Here is a 20628-nt window from a genome sequence, read left to right as displayed (position 1 = left end):
CTTCTTGTATAATGTAATCAGGGATTGACATTTTATCACCTTTGCCATATGACAAAACCTAATCAAGGGTGTGACATCTTACACCTTTGCCAGTTCTGTTGGCTTGAAAGAAGTCTCATATCCCACCCACATTGAATGGGAGGAGATTATACAAAGGCATAGATACTAGAAGCTGGAAATCACTGGGGATCACTCTAGTGTCTGTTCATCTCATTATTATTATGAAAATCCACTTGCTTAGAGAAAGTAAAGTGCATTTAATTTTGTAAATATTCTTCCATCAATATAATTAGGTCTTGGTAAATTTCCTGAGGTGCATCCTCTCCAAGGTAAAAATCCACATGATTGTAGTGTGGAATCAGCTTGTAATAAATAAGGTTAGCAATTTGAGGAAGTAAATTTTCAACATCCTTGGGATCAGCCACAATGTCCTGTCCACCATTCCATATTGCTGTTGGAACTTCCATCTTAGTAATGTTGTATAAAGGAGGTGTAAGCTAAATACAATAAAAGAGAGAGAGAAAAGTTTTTACAGAATATTACATTATAGAAGTAACATTAACTGTCAGCTGTTGAGCAAGTTCTTTAAATGCTACAAGTGTACAATTAGTTTACACTTAATGGTATATAAACATTAAAATGTTAAAAATACTTGAAACCATTCTCGTGCAGTAATATGAATTGTGAATCGAAAAAAACAATTCAATTATTGTATTTCTGACTTGCACGTTTGGGAAAATAAAAGATTCTGGAGGAAGAGCATTCTTTTTTCCATGGGGGATCATCTTTCTAGTTAGCATTTGATCTCAGAATGTGACCTTTTCAAACAAAATGTCGGATAGGATAAATATCCCTTCTCTTAGTCACAAATCTGGGCTCAGTGGCATTATTAATATTTGGGAATCAGCAGACTCTTCAGGGAGCATTGAGACCAAGGCATGAAAGACATTTGAAGTATGATGCTAAAAAGGAGTCAGTCTGTTACAAATAACTAGAGTGGCTATAGCACTCTATAAACTCTCAGCAAGTTTTCCCTTACCGCTTCTTTCTTGTATTGATACAACACAACCTCTGTTCCAGGTAACCAGGTCTGGCCAATTCGTCCTCCATTCTTCAGGTCACAGTGATTGTATGAGAGATGGGCACGTGACTAAAACTGGGCCAGAGGTCCCTCTAGAACTTTTTGCCATAGCCATTGAGAATATAGTATCTTTTGGTGGGAGTTGGGGTTAGGGGGCCTTTGGAAAAACTATATGAACTAAGTAAACCTAGTCACCACTGTTTCCTCACAAGAGACAACCGTATTCTGAAACAGTGTGTGTGTGTGGCATATCCCCACCCCACTCCTGCCACGTACATCTAACTATAGCAGCTGGGGAGAAAAGTCAGGTTTTTCACAACAGTTAGAGTTGAGTTATACATTTTCACTATTATAGTTGTTATAGTAGTTGTTATGATGACATTAAAAATTCCCACATTAAAATTTTTTGGCTGGGCATGGTGGCTCACGCCTGTAATCCCAGCACTTTGAGACACTGAAGCAAGAGAATCGCTTGAGCCAGGAGTTCAAGATTAGCCTTTACAACATAATGAGACCCTGACTTTATTTTTAAAGGTAAAAGAAAAAAGAAATTAAAAAAAAGAATTTTTTTTTCCCAAATTTCTACATCCTAGATTTGAAAAACCCAAGTATCATTCATGACTACTTTTTCAGTTTAAGCTCAGTCTATCGGCAAGAAGCCAAAATCATTATTGGATTTCCTCACATACTTGGGAATAAAATAACAATAACAATACACATTTCCCTTTAATATAAAACTTTTCTCTAAAAGTTTTCGTAGATCTGGTGACACACCAGATCGAAAATAGTACTATTTGCTAGGGAATGACATGCTAAGGCACACTATCCCTGGCAGATACTACTACCTCCTAAAAATGATACTTCTTACTTATATCTTTAATGATCCATATAATGGTATTTAAAAAGTGGCTAGTAAATGACATCCTAAAGAACTATTAGGCAGTCTTAGTTATTAAACATAGATAAGAAGTCAGAGAATATACTTTAAAAACAAACATGTTTTTTGTTTGTTTGTTTGTTTTTTGTTTTTGTTTTTTTGAGAAGGAATAAGTGTAGTGGAGAAGACTAGACTTTAAATCCAGGAAACCTGGGTCGTATTCTGGTTGATTTTTTTCCCCTTCCAACTTTTATTTTAGATTCAGGGGGTACATGTGCAGGCTTGCCACATAAGTAAATTGCATATCATGGAGGTTTGGCTTACAAATGATTTTGTCATCCAGGTAATGAGCACAGTACCCAATAGGTAGTTTTTCAATCCTCACTCTCCTCCCAGCCTCCACCCTCAAGTAGGCCCCAGTGTCTATTGTTCCCCTCTTTGTGTCCATGTAAACTCAATGTTTAGCCCCCACTTATAAGTGAGAGCATGTGATATTTGGTTTTCTGTGCCTGTGTTAATTTACTTAGGATAATGGCCTCCACCTGCATCCACATTGCTGCAAAGGACATTATTTCATTCTTTTCAATAGCTGCATAGTATTCCATGGTGTATATGTACCACATTTTCTTTATTCAGTTCACCTCTTATGGGCATCTAGATTCCATGTCTTTGCTATTGTGAATAGGTGCACAATGAACATACGGGTACATGTGTCTTTTTGATAGAACGATTTATATTCCTTTGAGTATATACCTAGTAATGGGATTCCTAAGTCAAATCATAGTTCTGTTTTAAGTTCTTTGAGAAATTGTCACATTGCTTTCCACAATGGCTGAATTAATTTACATTCCCACCAGTGGTGTATGACCATTCTTTCTCCACAACCTCACCAGCATCTGTTATTTTTTGACTTTTAAATAATAGCCATTCTGACTGGTGTGAGATGCTATCTCATCATGGTTTTGATTTTCATTTCTCTAATGATTATTGATATTGACCATTTTTCATATGCTTATTAGATGCATGTATGTCTTCTTTTGAGAAGTGTTTGTTCATGTACTTTGCTAACTTTTTAATGGGGGTGTTTGGTTTTTTTGCTTGTTAGTTTGCTTAAGTTTCTTACAGACTTTGGATATTAGATCTTTGTCAAATGCATAATTTGAAAATGTTTTCTCTTATTCTTAGGTTGTCTGCTTCCTCTATTGATAGTTTCTTTTGCTATTCAAAAGCTCTTTAGTTTAATTAGGTTCCACTTGTCAATTGTTTTTTGTTGCAATTACTTTTGGCATCTTTATCATGAAATTTTTGCATCTTTATCATGAAATTTTTGCATCTTTATCATGAAATTTTTGCCAGGTCCTATGTCCAGAACGGTATTTCCTAGGTTTTCTTTTAGGGTTTTTATAGTTGTAGGTTATACATTTAAGTCTTTAATCCATCTTGAGTTAATTTTTGTATATGGGAAAAAGAAGGGGTCCAGTTTCAATCTTCTGCATATGGCTAGCCAGTTATCTCAGCACCAATTATTGAATAGACCATCCTTTCCCCATTGCTTGTTATTGTCAACTTTGTCGAAGATCAAATGATTGCAGGTGTTCAACTTTATTTCTGGGTTCTCTAACCCATTCCATTGGTCTATGTGTCTGTTTTTGTACCAATACCATGCTGTTTTGGTTACTGTAGCCTTGTAGTATAGTTTGAAGTCAAGTAATGCCTCCAGCTTTGCTCTTTTTGCTTAAGATTGCCTTGACTATTCAGGCTTCTTTTGGGTTTCATATGAATTTTAAAATAGTTTTTCTAATTCTGTGTTAGATGTCATTTGTATTTTGATAGGAGTAGCATTGAATCTGTAAATTGATTTGGACAGTATGGCCATTTTAATGATATTGATTCTTCCTATCCATGAACATGGAATGTTTTTCCATTTGTATCATCTCTGATTTCTTTGAGCAGTGTTTTAAAGTTCTCATTGTAGAGATCTTTCATTTCCCTGATTAGCTGTATTCACATTTTATTCTTTTTGTGGCTATTATGATTGGGATTATGTTCTTGACTTGGCTGTCAGCTTGGACATTGTTACTGATTTTGGTACATTGATTTTGTATCCTAAAACATTACTGAAGTTATTTATCAGTGTAAGGAGCCTTTAGAATGAGACTATGGGGTTTTTTAGATATAGAATCACATCATCCATGAAAAGAAGTAGTTTGACTTCCTCTCTTCCTATTCGAATGCCATTTATTTCTTTCTCTTGTGTGATTGCTCTGGCTAGGACTTCCAGTACTATGCTCAATAGGAGTGGTGACAGTGGACATTCTTGTCTTGTTTCAGTTCTCAAGGGGAATGCTTCAAGCTTTTGCCTATTCAGTATTATGTTGGCTGTGGGTTTGTCAGAAATGGCATTTAATATTATTATTGTTTTCTTTTTTTTTTTTTTTTGAGACGGAGTCTTGCTCTGTCACTTAGGCTGGAGTGCCATGGCACAATCTCAGCCCACTGCAACCTCTGCCTCCTGGGTTTAAGCTATTCTGGTGCCTTAGCCTCCCAAGTAGCTGGAATTACAGGTGCCTGCCACCACACCCAGCTAATTTTTGTATTTTTAATAGAGATGAGGTTTCACCATGTTGGCCAGGCTAGTCTCATACCCCTGACCTCAAGTGATCTGCCCGCCTCAGACAGGATACATGTGCACAATGTGCAAGTTTGTTACATAGGTGTACATATGCCATGGTAGTTTGATGCTCCTATTGACTCATCCTCTAAGTTCCCTTCCCTCGCCATCCAACCCTCACACACAGGCCCGGCTGTGTGTTGTTCCCCTCTCTGTGTCCATGTGTTCTCATTGTTCAACTCCCACTTATGAGTAAGAACATGTGGTATTTGATATTCTGTTCCTGTGTTAGTTTGCTGAGGATGATGGCTTCCAGCTGCATCCGTGTCCCTGCAAAGTACATTATCTCATTGGCTGCATGGTACTATGACTGCATAGTATTCCATGGTGCATATGTACCACATATTCTTTATCCAGTCTATTATTGATGGGCATTTCCGTTGGTTCCATGTCTTTGTTATTGTAAACAGTGCTGCAGTAAACATACATGTGCATGTATCTTTATAGTAGAATGGTTTATATTCCTTTGGGTATATACCCAGTAATGGGATTGCTGGGTCAAATGGTATTTTTGATTCTAGATCCTTGAGGAATAGCCATGCTATCTTCCACAATGGTTGAATTAATTCACATTCCCATCAACAGTGTAAAAGTGTTCCTATTTCTCCACAGCCTCGCCAGCATCTATTGTTTCCTGACTTTTTAATAATCACCATTCTCTCTGGCATGAGATGGTATCTCATTGTGGTTTTGATTTTCATTTCTCTGATGATCAGTGATGTTGAGCTTTTTTTCATATGTTTGTTGAGATGGCTTTTATTATTTTGAGGTAAGTTTCTTTGATGCTTAGTTTGTTGAGGGTTTTTAACATGAAGGGATGTGGAATTTTCTTAAGAGTCTTTTCTGTGTCTATTGAGATAATCTTGTGATTTTTGTTTTTAGTTCTGTTTATGTGATGCCTGAAACATATTGATTTGCATATTTTGGACCAACTTTGCAACCCAGGAATAAAGCCTACTTGATTGTTGTGGACTAGCTTTTTGATGTGTTGCTGTATTAGGTTCACTAGTATTTCACTGAGAATTTTTGCATATATGTTTATCAGGGATATTGGCCTGAAGTTTTCTTTATTCATTGTGTTTCTGCCAGATTTTGGCATCAGAATGATGGATGCTGGCTTCATAAAATGAGTTAGAGAAGAGTCCCTCCTCCTCGATTTTTTGGAATTATTTCAATAAGATTGGCACCAGCTCTTCTTACATGTATGGTAAAATTGGACTGTAATTCATTCTGGTCCAGGGCTTTTTCTGGTTGGTAGTGTTTTAGTACTGATTCAGTTTTGGAACTTGTTATTGATCTGTTTAGGATTTCAATTGCTTCCTGATTTAATCTTTGGAGGTGTTATGCTTCCCGGAATTTATGCATTTCTTCTAGATTTTCTAGTTTGTGTGTGTAGAGGTGATAATGATAGTCTCTGAGGGATTATTATGTATCTGTGGGGTGGTGGTAATGTCCCCATTGTCATTTCTGACTGTATTTATTTGAATCTTCTCTCTTTATTATTTATTAGTCTAGCTAGCAGTCTATCAATTTTATTTATTCTGTCAAGGAAGCAACTTGTGATTTTGTTGATCTTTTGTATGTTTCTTTGCATCTCAGTTTCATTCAGTTAAGCTGTAATTTTGGTTATTTTTTCTTCTGCTAGCTCTGGAGTTGGTTTGCTCTTGTTTTTCTAGTTTCTCTAGGTGTGATGTTAGGTTCTTAATTTGAGATCTTTCTAACTTTTTGATGTGGATGTTTAGCACTATAAGCTTTCCTCTTAACACTCCTTTAGCTGTGTCCCAGAGATTCTGGTATATTGTATCTTTGTTTTCATTAGTTTCAAAGAATTTCTTGATTTCTGCCTGTGTTTCATTATTTACCCAAAAGTCATTCAGGAGAAGGTTGTCTAATTGCATGGTTTTGATGGATCATCTTGGTATTGATTTCTACTTTTATTGTACTGTGATTCATGAGTGTACATAGTATAATTTCAGTTTTTTTTTAATTTGTTGAGAATTGCTTTATGGTTGAGTGTGTGGTCGATTTTAGAGTATATGCCATGTGCACATGAGAAGAATATGTATTCTGCTGTTATTGGGTCGAGTGTTCTCTAGATGTCTGCTCAGTCTATTTGGTTAGGTGTCAAGTTTAGGTCCCAAATATCTTTGTTAGCTTTCTGCATCAAAGATCTGTCTAGTACTGTCAGTGGGGTGTTGAAGTCTCCCACTATTGTTGTGTGGTTATCTAAGTCTCTTTGTAGGTCTCTAAGGACTTGTTTTATGAATCTGGGTGCTCCTGTGTTGGGTGCATATATATTTAGGATAGTTGTATTCTTGTTAAATTCAACCCTTTATCTTTATTTAATGTCCTTCTCTGTTCCTTTTGATAATTGTTTATTTAAATTCTGTTTTGTCTGAAGCAAGAATAGCAACCCCTGGTCTTTTTTCTTTTCCATTTGTTTGATAGATATTTCTCCCTCCCTTTTCTTTGAGCCCAGGAGTGTCACTGCATGCAAGATAGGTCTCAGGTAGGCAGCATACAGTTAGGTCTTGCTTCTTTATGCAACTTGCAACTCTTTGCATTTTAAGTGAGGCATTTAGCCTGTTTGCATTCAAGGTTAATATCAATATGTGTAGATTTGATCCTGTCATTGTGTTGTTAGCTGGTTCTTATGTAGGCTTGATTATGTAGCTGCTTTCTAGTGTCAACGGTCTATGTATTTAAGTGTGCTTTTGTAGTATCTGGTACCAGTCTTTATTTCCATGTTTAGCATTCCATTAAGGACCTCTTGGAAGGCAGGTCTGGTGGTAATAAATTCCCTTAGCAATTTTGTCTGAAAAATATTTTATATTTTCTTCACTTATAAAGCTTAGTTTGTCTGTATGTGAAATTCTTGGTTAGAATTTCTTTTCTTTAAGGATGTTGAATACAAGCCCGTAATCTCTTCTGGCTTGTAGGGTTTCTGCTGAAAGGTCCACAGTTAGCCTGATGAGGTTCCCTTTGTTGGTGAACTGCCCCTTCTCTCTAGCTGCCTTTAATATTTTTTCTTTCATATAGACCTTGGAGAATCTGATGACTATGTGTCTTGGGGATGGTTGTCTTATATACTATCTTGCAGGGGTTCTCTGAATTTCCCAAATTTAAATGTTGACCGCTCTAGTGAGGTTGGGGAAATTTTCATAGACAATATCATCAAATATGTTTTCCAAGTTACTTCCTCTCTCTTCCTCTCTTTCAGGAATGCCAGAGAGCTGTAGGTTTGGTGTCTTTACATAATCCTATATTTTCTGCAGATTTTGTTCATTTTTTAAATTCTTTTTTCTTTATTTTTGTCTGACTGGGTTCACTGAAATAACCAGTCTTCAATCTCTGAGATTTTTTCCTAAGCTTGGTCTATTCTGCTATTAATACTTCTGGTTATATTATGAAATTCTTATAGTGAGTTTCCCAGCTCTATCAGATCAATTTGGTTATTTCTTAAAATGGCTATTTCATCTTTCAGCTCTTAAATTATTTTACTGGATTCCTTAGATTCCTTGGACTGAGTTTCAACTTTCTCCTGAATTTCAATGATCTCTGTTGCCGTCCAGATTCTGAACTGTGTATCTGTCATTTCAGTCATTTAAATCTGGTTAAGAACAATTGCTGGAGAGTTAGTGTGGTCATTTAGAGGTCATTTGCCTTTTCAAATGTCCAGAGTTCTTGCACTGATTCCTTCTCAACTGTTTTGGCTGATATTCCTTTAATCTTTGAAGTTGCTGTCCTTTGGATGAGGCTTTTTGCTTTTATATTCTTTGAAGCCCTTGAGAATATGACTGTGATATAAGTTGTGTTTAGTTGACTGGCTTCATTTCTGGATGACTTCAGGGTACCAGGGCTCAGCTCAGCACTCCTGGGCTGGGTGCTATAACCTTGGTAGGTGGGACCATGTGCAAAGCTTTGTTCTCTGGCCACTGCTGCACTGGAGAGGCTGAGATGTTCCTCATATACTGGCAACAACACTCTGATGGGAGGTGGGGCAAAAGCACTTCATCGTGGTGGTGGTGGCAAGGTTTGCACACACGCATGCTTGCAAAGCAGTCAGGGGAGGCTGCAAGTATGTTCACACTGGTAGGGACCCATCTGCAAAAGCTGTCCTATGCCTAGGCAGAATCTGCCAGTGAAGGAGGTATGGCAGTGACCACAGGGAGGCACTCTGGTTGGGCATGTGAGGCTGTGCTGCAAGCAGGTGCAGCCAGGCAGGAACCCTGAGAAAGGCCAGCAGACAGGGATGTGCTCAGATTACACTGGCCCTGTCCCGTGGGTAAGATAGCCCTGTTCTGTTCAGGTTCAACAGTCAACAAAGGCCAGCGCTACCTAGAGGTGCTTGGCGAGCCTTAGGGAATGGATGTCCCTGGCCATACTTCACTGCAACCGTTCCTGCACCAAACCCTTTGGGCTTTGCACAGGCAAGAGTCCTGTCCCTGCCAACTCCCCAAACAGCTCTGCCTACTAGCTCAAATGTCTATGGGGGTTGTGGGGTGTCCTACAGGTAGGTCCATAGTAAGAATGGGCCATTGCACTCCTATTTAACTCACCTCTTCCCCAGGAGCTACTCAGGGCCTGAAGTGAGTCCTGGTGCTCAGCAACCCCGTTCAGGCTTCCCAGAATCCTCCCTCTAGCCCAGGCTCCACATCCTACCTCCATTCACTCTCAATGCCTTTCTTCTGAAGATCTGCTCAGAGTGTTCCAATCTTCTTGATGGTCTTGTCTCTTAATGGGAGAAACTCTTCCTGGCTGTATCCAGTTGACCATCTTGAGCCCCTGTCTCTGGTTGTTTACTAGCGAATAACTCTGGTAATTTACCTACCCTCTCTGAACCTCTGAAAAAAATAGGGATAATAATATTTACCTTGCAAGGTCCTTGTAAGAATTAGAAATAATGATATGGCATATGGCAAGAACCCAATAAGCAGCCTGTGAGAACAGCAATAAGCAATATCCAGTGTGGTTAAATGGAAGTGGCAGGTGCTTCATGAGTAGACACTATTTTTGTTAGTTCATTTGCAGCATGGAACTGATTATGAGGATTATTTTTGTACCTGATGGAAGTGCATCATGTTCTGATCAGAGTTTCCCCAATCAAAAGCTTGGAGCTGACCAGAATTAACAGCCTAAAATAAAATAAGCACGTTAAAATAATATAAGAAAATAGTGTACATTTAAAGACAGTACAGAAGAAATATACAAAGAAGATTAACATTATGCCCCAGTCTTTAGAAACATAAGCTAAATTTCAATAAAGATTAAGAAAATAAGTAATAAAAATGATAAATCTTATCGTAATTCACAGAATTGGTACAATCTTTTACTCATTCCTGTATCTTTCCAGTGAAAATCCTCAGATTTTTCATTTAAATCCAATGCCTTTAAATGTTACCATGTTACACACAGAAATATTTTTTAAAGATGCGGAATTGAATGATTCTTGAATATCTTTGCTTCAGGAATTTTAATAATTTTTTTAAAAAGGCATTAGCTATACATTTCTTACATTTAAAAATTACTGCTATTGTTATTATACAACTTTGTACCTTATCCTCATGATGTGGTCTAAACTGTTATGATTATATTCCCTATCCTTAAACTTTTTTTTTTTACTATTAAAAGAAATATTCACCCACTGAGCTTCCGCAGTTCTGTGTAAGGTACATGGCTGCTCTCTGCCTCCCATATGTGGAGTCAAGCCACCTGCTGTGATGTGCATAATGTAGCCATGGGCTGACTGAGACACTGTGCATGACTACTTTTGCATTTTGGTATTGAAACTTCAAATATTAGAATATAAGGTCATGCATATATGCAGCACTTCATTTTTCTGTTATTTGCCACCCATATAGGATTGATGAGGCAGATAATTTTGACATTTATGTCAAGCACTTCATTAAATTATTCTCAGACTATTCTGTGTTTTTCTTTCTTAGCTTGAATCTCAGATATTTTTCCCACTTACCAATTTAGTCCTGATTTTTAGTTTAAAATTATTCTCATCATGATTTATATTCAGAGAGGCAGCAGTCTGCTGCTGTTGAAATTCTGCAAGCTTTTAGAAATGAGAGGCAATAGGACGTACTACTTAGGAACTTGGGCTCTAGGATCAAATCTGATGATTTGGTTTGGCTCTGTGTCCCCACCCAAATCTCATCTCTAATTGTAACCACACTTGTCAGGTGAGGGGCCTGGTGGGAGGAGACTGAATCATGGGGGCGGACTTCCCCTTTGCTGTTCTCCTGATAGTGAGTGAGTTCTCACAAGATCTGGTTGTTTGAAAGTGTGTGGCACTTCCCACTTTGTGCTCTCTCTCTCCTGCTCCACCGTGGTAAGACGTGCTTGCTTCCCCTTCACTTTCCACGGTGATTGATTGTAAGTTTCTTGAGGCCTCCTAGCCATGCTTCCTGTACAGCCTGTGGAGCTGTGAGTCTGTTAAAACACTTGTCTTCATAAATTATCCAGTCTCAGGTAGCTCTTTATAGTAGTGTGAAAGACACTAATATACCTTGATTGTATCCAGGCTTAATAGACTACTGAATCTGTGATTCAAGGCAAGATATTTGTGAAATGAGAATGATAGTAACATTCTTTCTTAGGATTGTGAAGATTATGTTAACACCTATAAAGCATGTAGCACCTAATAATACCCAACAAACAGCTTTTTTTCACTAGTATTACTCCCATCATCATGATCATCACTCTTGCCTTAGCTGCCTATGTAACTTATAACCAAATATTCACCATGCCCCCCACCATCCCCACTTATTTCTATCCTGAAGAGGACTCTCTGTCAAAGGGGAAAAGTTTTTCTTAAGAGAAGTCAATTGTAAAATGTATAAGGAACAGGCAGCCATGCGCAGTGCTCACGCCTGTAATCCCAGCACTCTGGTAGGCTGAGGTGGGAGGATTGCTTGAGTCCAGCAGTCCAAGACCAGCCTAGGCAACAAAACAAGACCTCATCTTTGTAAAAAGAAACAAACGTTATCTGGGCATGGTGGTGCATGCCTGTGGTGCCAGCTACTCAGGAAGCTGAGATGGGAGGATTGCTTAAACCCAGGATGTCAAGGCTACAGTGAGCCATGATTCTACCACTGTACTTCAGCCTGGGTAACGTGATTGTACCACTGCACGCTTTTTTTTGAGACCCTGTCTTAAAAAATAAATAAATAAAAGAATATGCTATGACATTTGTAGAGTGGGGGGATATCAATGCCTTTACTAAAAAATTGTTATAATAATTCAGTGAGACTGAATAAAATCATATGTATGAGCAGCAAGAAGAGCATATATTAAGTGCTCAATAACTGTGAAGTTAAATGTGTAGTACCTGGAAGGCCATGCTCATAAGAGGACCTATCTGTCTCCTCGTCAGTAGGAAGCCCTATATCCTGAACATCTTTCTTCGTAGAGGAACTTGAAGCCTTATCTCCTGGGATCAAACTCTTCCAAGTATTTTGGAAATCCTCACCAAGTATTTCAGGCTATCTATAGTAGCGATTCTCTAAAACAGGGAGCAAATTTAGTAGGATATATATTAAAATGCAAATTCCTGGTTGGGGGGGGGTCTCAGATATATTAAACCTTTAAGAAGACACCACCACTTTCCCCGTCATAGAATTATGTATATTTTGTTCACTTTTCAAAAGGCGTTGTGACTGAGCCACCAGCCAAGAATATAGGCAAATATTACATAATAAACAAATGAATGTGCATGCACGTGTGTGCGCATGCACACACAAAGACACACACACACACAAGGCTCAGAAAGCCACACCAACTGGATTAGACTTATCTCTGAGCTTTCTGTATATTGAGTAATAAAATAAAACAAATAAAACTTTAGCTGAAGGTAAAAACATAAGCCATAAATCCATTTTAATTCTTCCCTAGCATTCAATCTTCTCTGAATAAAGCATCATTTCCACATTCTGAAATGCCCCATATATTGATTGGAGGATGAACAGCTCTTTCTGGAATAAGATGCATCATTTTATATAAAGTTCTATTAGAGCTGATGACTTTCTGAAAGAGGAAATAAAAGTCTTCCCTTAAAATGTAGTTTGGAATCATCTAAGGATCAGAACCCAGTCAGAATATCTGAGAACCATGCTCAAAACCCAGACACTGAGGACAAGGAGAAGAAATGGGAATGAAGTAAATAAAAATGAAGAGTTGATGCTGATTCCAAAAACATCAATGTGGCAGTGGCAGGTGCCAGCAGAACCCTGCAGTGAGCTCTCTGAGAGCACTTCTTGAGGGTCTTGCAGAGATATGTGTGCATCAAGCAGGAATAAGAAGCACTTACCTGAGCCCAGTGCAGCATATTCTGAACAGATGTTCCCGCAGGATTGTGTGACAAATAAACATCCAAGCGACTCTGCAAAGAGATTACTTCTCATCTAGAGGCTAATCATATCATCATACCACAAGTAAACATTTGAGAGAAATTTAAAAAGTTTCTTCTTTTCCTCTTTTCCCTTTCTTTCTTTTTTTTATTTTTATTTTTATTTTTATTTTTGAGTTGGAGTCTCGCTCTGTCACCCAGGCTGGAGTGCAGTGGTGCAATCTCAGCTCACTGCAGGCTCCACCTCCTGGGTTCCATTCTCCTGCCTTAGCCTCCCGAGTAGCTAGGACTACAGGTGCGCACCACCACGCCTGGCTAATTTTGTGTTTGTACTTTTAGTAGAGACAGGGTTTCACTGTGTCAGCCAGGATGGTCTCGCTCTCCTGACCTCGTGATCCGCCTGCCTCAGCTTCCCAAAGTGCTGGGATTACAGGTGTGAGCCACTGCACCTGGCGTCTTTTCCCTTTCTTTAAGGAAAAAACATGTACCATATAATCTGAAGACATATTAACCAAAAAAGCCCATCTTTGAAGAATTTTTCCTCCACCAGCTCTGTCCTGTCCTCAGCAGTGTCTTCAGAAAGCCTACAGAGGGCATCCCACGGGGCAAAGACAAAAGGAAATCTATCTTTTTCCAGACTCAACTCCCATAGGTTCAAGGGTATAGGGGATTAAAGAATAAAAACCCCAGTGATCTTCTCCTTCACCCCGTGTTAAGTCCCAAAGGACATTCAAAGAGAGCTGTTGGCCCTAAGACACTAAGAATAGATCTGTATGTTGACGTTCGTTTTCTGAATTTTAAAATGTGATGAGTATTCTACAGGACTCTGAAATTTTGTGTAACAGAATTAATTCAGTCGGTATATTTAGATATCTTATGGATAAACAACCACAAACACACACAAGAACAAAAACAAAAACAAAACACACACAAAAACTCTTGATTCTCTCATATTTTCAATTGCACTATTTTTTAAATTAAAAGAGTTATTTTCCACCAAAGTAAGCATCAGAAACATCTTAGGGCTTTAAAAATATTTTAACCTACTTATAAGCTATCCAAATGTACTGAATAAAAATCAAAATCTCAAAGGTTGAGTTCTGGACATGTGTATTTTTTCAAAGTTCCACCAATATTACTTATGTACCCCTGGCTATGGTTCTTTGAAACAAATGTCCTTGAAGGTGCTGTAATATTCTGTAAGTTTTGCTTTTTGGCAGAAAGACAAAAGGTGATCTGACAAAAGGTGTCCATATGGACAACAAGGGCCAATGAATACTCAAGGGTGTTATTTTGTGATGTCTTTCTTTAGCAAACTCTTAGGCTATGCTGAGAGGGTGCTTTTAAAATACACTCTTTTTTATTTGCTTCAAGGTCTTTTTACTCAGCTCTGCCTGCATGATATGCTCTCACCTACATATATCCTTGCATCTAAGTGATAGGAAGCATAGTTTCCATTGTACACTGAGAAAGTGAGAGAGGAACATAGAAAGGCAATGGCTAAGACATGTTTTGCATAAAAAGCCTTTTATAAATCTTGCCTGAAAGCAAGAAAAATTTTAATCAGTGCTTTCTACTGACTGGGAGAGTAGGCTCTGGGCAGAAGTTTGTGAGAGAGGTGGAGACCAACTTCAGCCTTATCCTACTTCTGGTTTCAAACACAACTCCTCTCTTTCCCTCCTCCCTTCCCCAACTCCTTGGGTCATCATGGAAAGGATCTCAGTTAAATTAGAAATTACTTGACAAGAACCCTGACACTGATCCCTCTCGGTACCCCTTGAACAATAAATTTGTAGCTGTTGTTGAAGAACCATGCCTCCTTTTATCCTTTTGGGTTAAGGAAGTAAGTTGTTCACAAAATAACTTTCCAAATCAACTGTGAAAGTGGAAAATTGGTAAACAAATAAAAATGCAAATGTCTGGACTCACCCCCTGAGATTCTACTTCAGTGGGTCTGACATAAGGCGTAGGCACAGCAAGATAAATATCAAAACCATAGCCTTTATCTAAGCGAAGGACGTTTCGGGTAAGAAGAGATGAGAATTGTTGGCAGAAAAGCTTTCTTCTCAAATCCTCCTATGAAAGCAAGTGGACTCTCAACCCTCATTGGAAGCCATAAATGTACTAATTACATTCCAAATGCAAAAAGGAAACCTTGAATTGCAGTTGCCATACAATCCAGGATAACTTTCATCACTTCTGTGCAACAAAACAAATGTTTTCCCAGACCCAATTACTTACACCTACCATATTTAAGTTTTGCGGATCAAATCCACTCAGAGTAAATAGGAAGTTGCTGCAAATACGACGGAATAGCTTTCGATTGCACACTTTGGTGGCAATGAATTGGTCAAACAATGTATGAGGGTGGAACATTTTGTCACCAAACAACACCTACAAGATAATTTAAAACACCATCAAATCTTACAGGCGTGGATATCAAAAGTGGAGAAAGAGATAGTTCAAAGAAGGACTGCACAGTATTAGGTGACATCTGCTCAGTGTTGGTCCTTAGTGAAATCATGAGGCTTGTTATTAGCTTTGTAATCCTTCCAATGCACCTCTTAATGGCTTTTCCCAAAAATCTTTAATTGGGGTGGTTTTTAGAATGCCCCTTGAGAAACTAGTTCCCACAGGAAATTAGTAAGACTTTGGAGTGAGGCATACATGTGTTTCATTCTGGATTCAAACACGTTCTATACCTTAGGAGAGTTTTAAATTTCTATTATTATGAATTTTCTCATCTATAAAATGGAAAAATTTTCTACTGGGTAGGGCTGTTGTGAAGTTAGTAGGTCATGTTTAAAAGACAATTAGTGCAGTTCCTAGCATCTAGCGCACATGCAAAGTATTATTTAATTAAAGTATAAATTAATGTAATTATTATTACTATCATAATTAGTGACTAATACAGACTTGAGCCATTCCTTCCAGAATCCTTCAATGAATTCTATGACAAAAGCTTAACCCACATAAATGAATCTTTACTAGTGTAATTTCAGGCAGTGTTGCAAGTGAGTTTCTTTGCTTCACAGCTACTAGTTTTATAATCTTGGCATAATAAACTAGATATAAAGGTAAAAAGACATTTTTTAGTTCTTAAAACTTTGGAAACACCTATTTACAGTAAAAATAAACACACATTTCTTCTAGAATTCTTTATTAACCAGAAATTACAACTAAAGAACAGTAATAACTAGCATTTATTCATTTAAGATCTAATTCACTTTAAGATCTTTACTCCGTATTTGGAAAAGCCAACTCCAGGTTTCAGAACAGAGAACCAAGAATCCATTATGGTAGATGTCACCTGTTTCTTAACACCGTATTTTAATTGTTGATTATTTTATGAAGTGGCTATTTTCTTTCACATGGATTTGTTTTGCCAAGCATGGATTGATAAATAAAGCAAGTTATTGATAAATAAAAAATAAATTTGTTTACCGGTTAAAGTCAGATCCTGCCTTTTACTTTAATTATTTATTTGTGTGACAATCTATTTAAATTGTCACACTTGAAAACATGAAGTAAATGTCAACATAATTTTAAAAGAGAAGCTCATTTTATGAGTGTATGCTGCTACTATTATTAAATTATTATGGGGACATTTACACTGGAAGAATTACAATTTGGCAAGTTTAATTATCTAGGGTATTATCTAAGTGTCCTAGTGATTGAGATAAAATGAAGAGTCTGGAATCAATCAGATAATATGTACAAGGCTTATTATTACTTTCCAGACCTAAAGAATTGAGAAGTATGGTTTGAACTAGTTTAACATATTGTTGTCCTTCCTTTCCCTTCCCTTTTTCTTCTTCCTCCTCTTCTTCCTCCTCCTCTTCCTTCTGTCTTCTCTCCCTCTCCCTCTCCCTCCTTCCCTTCCTTTTTCCCTGGCTCCATCCCTCTCTTCCTCTCTTGGACAGGAAGAGGAGTATGAAATCTTGGTACTTCTTTTATTCCATTAATATTCCATGGAATATCAAATATTCCATTAAATAAAGATTATATCTGACTATACAAGATAATCTCTGTTCTGAAACCTGGAGTTAGCTTTCCCAAATACGGAGTAAATTAGCAGGACATTCTCTGACTCCATTCTACCTCAATATCCTGTGACTCAGCAAAATTACTATGCATTTACTCAAAGGTGAATAATTTCTCCTTTACCCTAAGCTAAAAGAGAGGATATTAATGCAGGCCAGCCAGCAGTATAGCACCCATATACAGAGTAGCAAACATGCCAACTTGTAGATATAATTCCAAGTTGGCTCTGGAGGAGGCATATTTGTCACATAACAGCAGGGAGCCAGGCTCCTTCTAGTAGCTCTTTTGGTATGTGTGAGAATTAGAAAAGGCACCCCTCTTTCTGGCAACATGGCCCCATGCCAGGGCATATGGCTTGCCAAAGCAGAACATGGGCTGGTTTCAGTCCTCAACAACCCACTGAGCTGGTCACCCTTGTTCACTAACTTCTTCAGGTTGGCATTGAAAAAGTGGAAAAAGACTTTTTTTTCCACCTATAAAAAAGACTGTTGACCATGGGTTGCCTGGTCAGATCTGGGTTCAAATTCTCGCTCTGCCGTCCATTAGCTGGGTGACTCGGGACAGGCTGCTTAGGTTCTCTGAGCCTCAAGTTCTTCTTTTAAGAAATGGAGACAGTACTAACAATCTTTAATGTTGTAGAGACACGTCAAAAGCAAAGGATCAAAGCAATCTATAGGTCAGAAAGAAAGTAGAATGACAAGAACACAAACGCATAAATGTCCAGGGGCAAAATGGGAGGTGAGGAAGGGGGAATGGATGAATGAATTTCTCAACTTGACGAACTCTACTCATTCTATCAATGTGAAAATTGAGGCTTAGCATGGTTAAATAACTTGTCCAAGGTTACAATAGGCAGGAGGCAGGGGCAGAATGTGAACCCAGTTCTGTCTGACTTAAGTCTTTATGCTTTATACTCAATTCAGTTCAACTCTCATGAACTGAGTTGAATGTAATAGAAATGGAGCAATTGAAAGAACTGGCAGCATCAATGAAAAGGAAGTGCTAATCAGAGAGAGAAAAAAGGTTGTCTCAGTCCAGAAGCTCCCATAAAAAAGGAAGCCTTTCACCAAGCATGCCTGCGAGCATCTGGCTGATGGGAGAGGAGAGGAGAAAGAAAGCCCGTTCCTCAAAAAGTCAAAAATATACCTAAACGTTGTCTATCATTTCATTGTCATATCTTACAGATTATTTTTTGTTGCACAACTCTTGTTCCAATCCCCAATATCTATCAGCTGATGTGTTAACAATAACCCCATAATCATTCTTCTCATCAGTGCACAACTCTTGTCCAATCCCCAACATCTATCAACTGATGTGTTAACAATAACTCCATAATGATTCTCCTAATCTTTCACCCTTCTTGATGTCCTTTACCCTCATCTGCTTACATTTGGTTCCCAGGGGAATCTTTCTAAAAAGGGGCATTATGCGTGTCATTCCCCTGTGCAAATATTTCCATGCTCCCCAATTACTTATATAATACATTCCAAATTCATTAATTTGGCGCTCAAATCCCTTTATCATCTGCCTCTACATTTCCAACATGATTTCTCATACTCTCCTTCACAAATACTAATATAAATCTCCAGTAAAGTGAGTTATGTGTGGTTCTCCATGGCCTGAGCTTCACCACTTCAATGTTGCTCATGTTTCTCTCTTGTTTCAGAAAGCCTTTCTATACCACACTCTATAATGAAATCATATCCTTAAGCCCAAACTAAAATGCCATCTTATCCAAAAAGTATTTTGTGATTCCAACAGCTAGCAGTATTTTTCTTTTCTCTGAGTTTGCCTAGCAATGTTTTTACTCTGTCATTATAATACTGGAATTTCTACTAGGAATTAGTAGGTCATATGTGGCAGTTCTTCTATTGGTACTATAGTTCCTCTATTGGAGTTATAATTTAGAAAGGGCAATCATTCTAAAGTTATAGATTTGATCAAGCCACTTTTCTATTTAATATTCTTCAATGGCCTCCCTTCATTAACAGAACAAAGTCTAAACTCCTAGACATGACACCACTTCCTTCCATTGCCCCCTAATACCTCCTTAGTTGAATCCCATTCTACTCTCACATACACCCTAGTTTTTACTCATACCAACAAGCTGGAAAGTTTCCTTGTAGACATAGCTGTTTCCTAATGCCAGGGCCTTGAAGTAGTAGCTCCTAGATATCTTTTGGCTGAATTAACTTGAATTGCACCACGTCCTACACACGTCAGGGTATGCAGAAGTTTGAAGAGAGCTGTGCAAATGAAGAGGAATGGAAAGATCTCACCATCCCAAAATATCTCTTAATTGTGTGGGAATACTGAAATAATTAAGCAAAAAGTCTGACATTGTTTACTTAATAGTAGGAGCAGGCCAGAGTGAAATCTCAATGGTATAAGAGGCCCAAGTACCAACAGGCAATGTAAGCATGTTTTGTTATTTTCAGGTGGTTTTTCTGCTACCTGTCTTTCTGGGATGTATAGATATGAACTTCAATCACCATAGGCTAATTTGCTTAGCTCTCAACAATGAGAATCTTCGGTAAATCTTCAGGCTTCTGTCAGAATTGTTTCACTTTCATCTGCTCTCATTGAAATCACTGAACCGTGCAATCACCACCATGGGAGTTATTACCATGGGAGAAGCCCATGTTAAAATACAAGAAGAAAACACACCAACCCATGCAATGCAATTTACCTGGACTAGATAAATGATCAGATTAGTTAGCTGTCAACTAGAGGAGATTAGGAGGCCTAGAGTTTTGCCTGGGTTTTGGGAATTGTCAAAATGACAGCCTGTAAAGTGTCAGGAAATGAAACAAGGTTGGGCATTTAGTGATGGAGGAGGGTACATTCTATAAAACTAATGATAACAAAAACAATTGTTAACATTTATTAAAGGTTTACAATATGCAATACATTGTTTTAGAGGATATGCTGTATTAATTTACTTAGTCCTCAGGGTAGCCCTATGAGTAAGAACTATTATTATCCCCACATTACAGATGAAGAGAACTTAAGGTCTTGACCAAATTTACCCAGCTTGCAAATCATAGAAATAACATTCAAACACACACCATCTGATTCCATGCTGTGAACTCAACCACCACTGCCCCTAAAAAATTAGGGATCACTAGAAAAATTCAATCTACTAAATTCAACAAACCAATCAATCAAATAAGTTCTCTCTATCTGTGGTTGAGGAATGGCGCAGCAGACACGTTTCTAGACATAGATGAAGAAAGTAGGGCAGATTAGCAACAGGGGGAGTTCCCTGAACTCTGCTAATAAGATTGCATACATCATCAGTGAACTTACATGGATATCTTGAATACCTATTATTTTCTCAGAAGTTTGTAAAATGTCATTGGTCTTCTGTTGAAATCAATGGAAATAGAGCTACTTTTAGTTATTTCAGATTAAAACTTGGGAAGTCACATACCTTAACTACTCGCCTGGAAAGGGTTGTTAGTTTTTTCATAGGACTTTGGGTGTATTTAACTGTGACAACTGGAGCCAGTGCAAAAAATATCTTAATCTTTTTAGCCAGTTCTGGGTTTGTAGAAAATGCTATAAAAGCTGAAATGGAAGAAGACAGTAGTTCATAG

At 37.9% G+C, this 20628-nt stretch overlaps 1 protein-coding gene across 11 annotated transcripts in view; it reads right to left on the bottom strand.

Annotated features, from left to right (window-relative positions):
- Positions 1–237: 237 nt before the first annotated feature.
- Positions 238–20628, bottom strand: part of LIPK (lipase family member K) — a 46528-nt gene continuing 26137 nt past the window's right edge. For 6 of the 11 annotated variants that reach the window (XM_011540075.2, NM_001378091.1, NM_001080518.2 and 3 more), the window contains 5 exons: positions 20463–20599; positions 15233–15379; positions 12947–13018; positions 9693–9764; positions 238–497 (listed from right to left, as the gene is read on the bottom strand). In XM_011540075.2, the coding sequence (XP_011538377.1) occupies positions 258–497; positions 9693–9764; positions 12947–13018; positions 15233–15379; positions 20463–20599 (668 nt within the window). In that variant the 3' untranslated portion in view covers positions 238–257. Of the gene's footprint in view, positions 498–9291; positions 9474–9692; positions 9765–12242; positions 12664–12946; positions 13019–15232; positions 15380–19129; positions 19276–20462; positions 20600–20628 lie in introns of those variants that run through there. The other 5 variants (XR_001747183.3, XM_017016545.2, XM_017016547.3 and 2 more) reach the window with 5 other exon arrangements.

This window comes from Homo sapiens, chromosome 10 (genome assembly GCF_000001405.40).
Source record: "Homo sapiens chromosome 10, GRCh38.p14 Primary Assembly".
Lineage (NCBI taxonomy): Eukaryota > Metazoa > Chordata > Mammalia > Primates > Hominidae > Homo > Homo sapiens.
The sequence above is the reverse complement of the archived record's forward strand: the minus strand, read 5'-3'. Positions and strand labels throughout refer to the sequence as shown.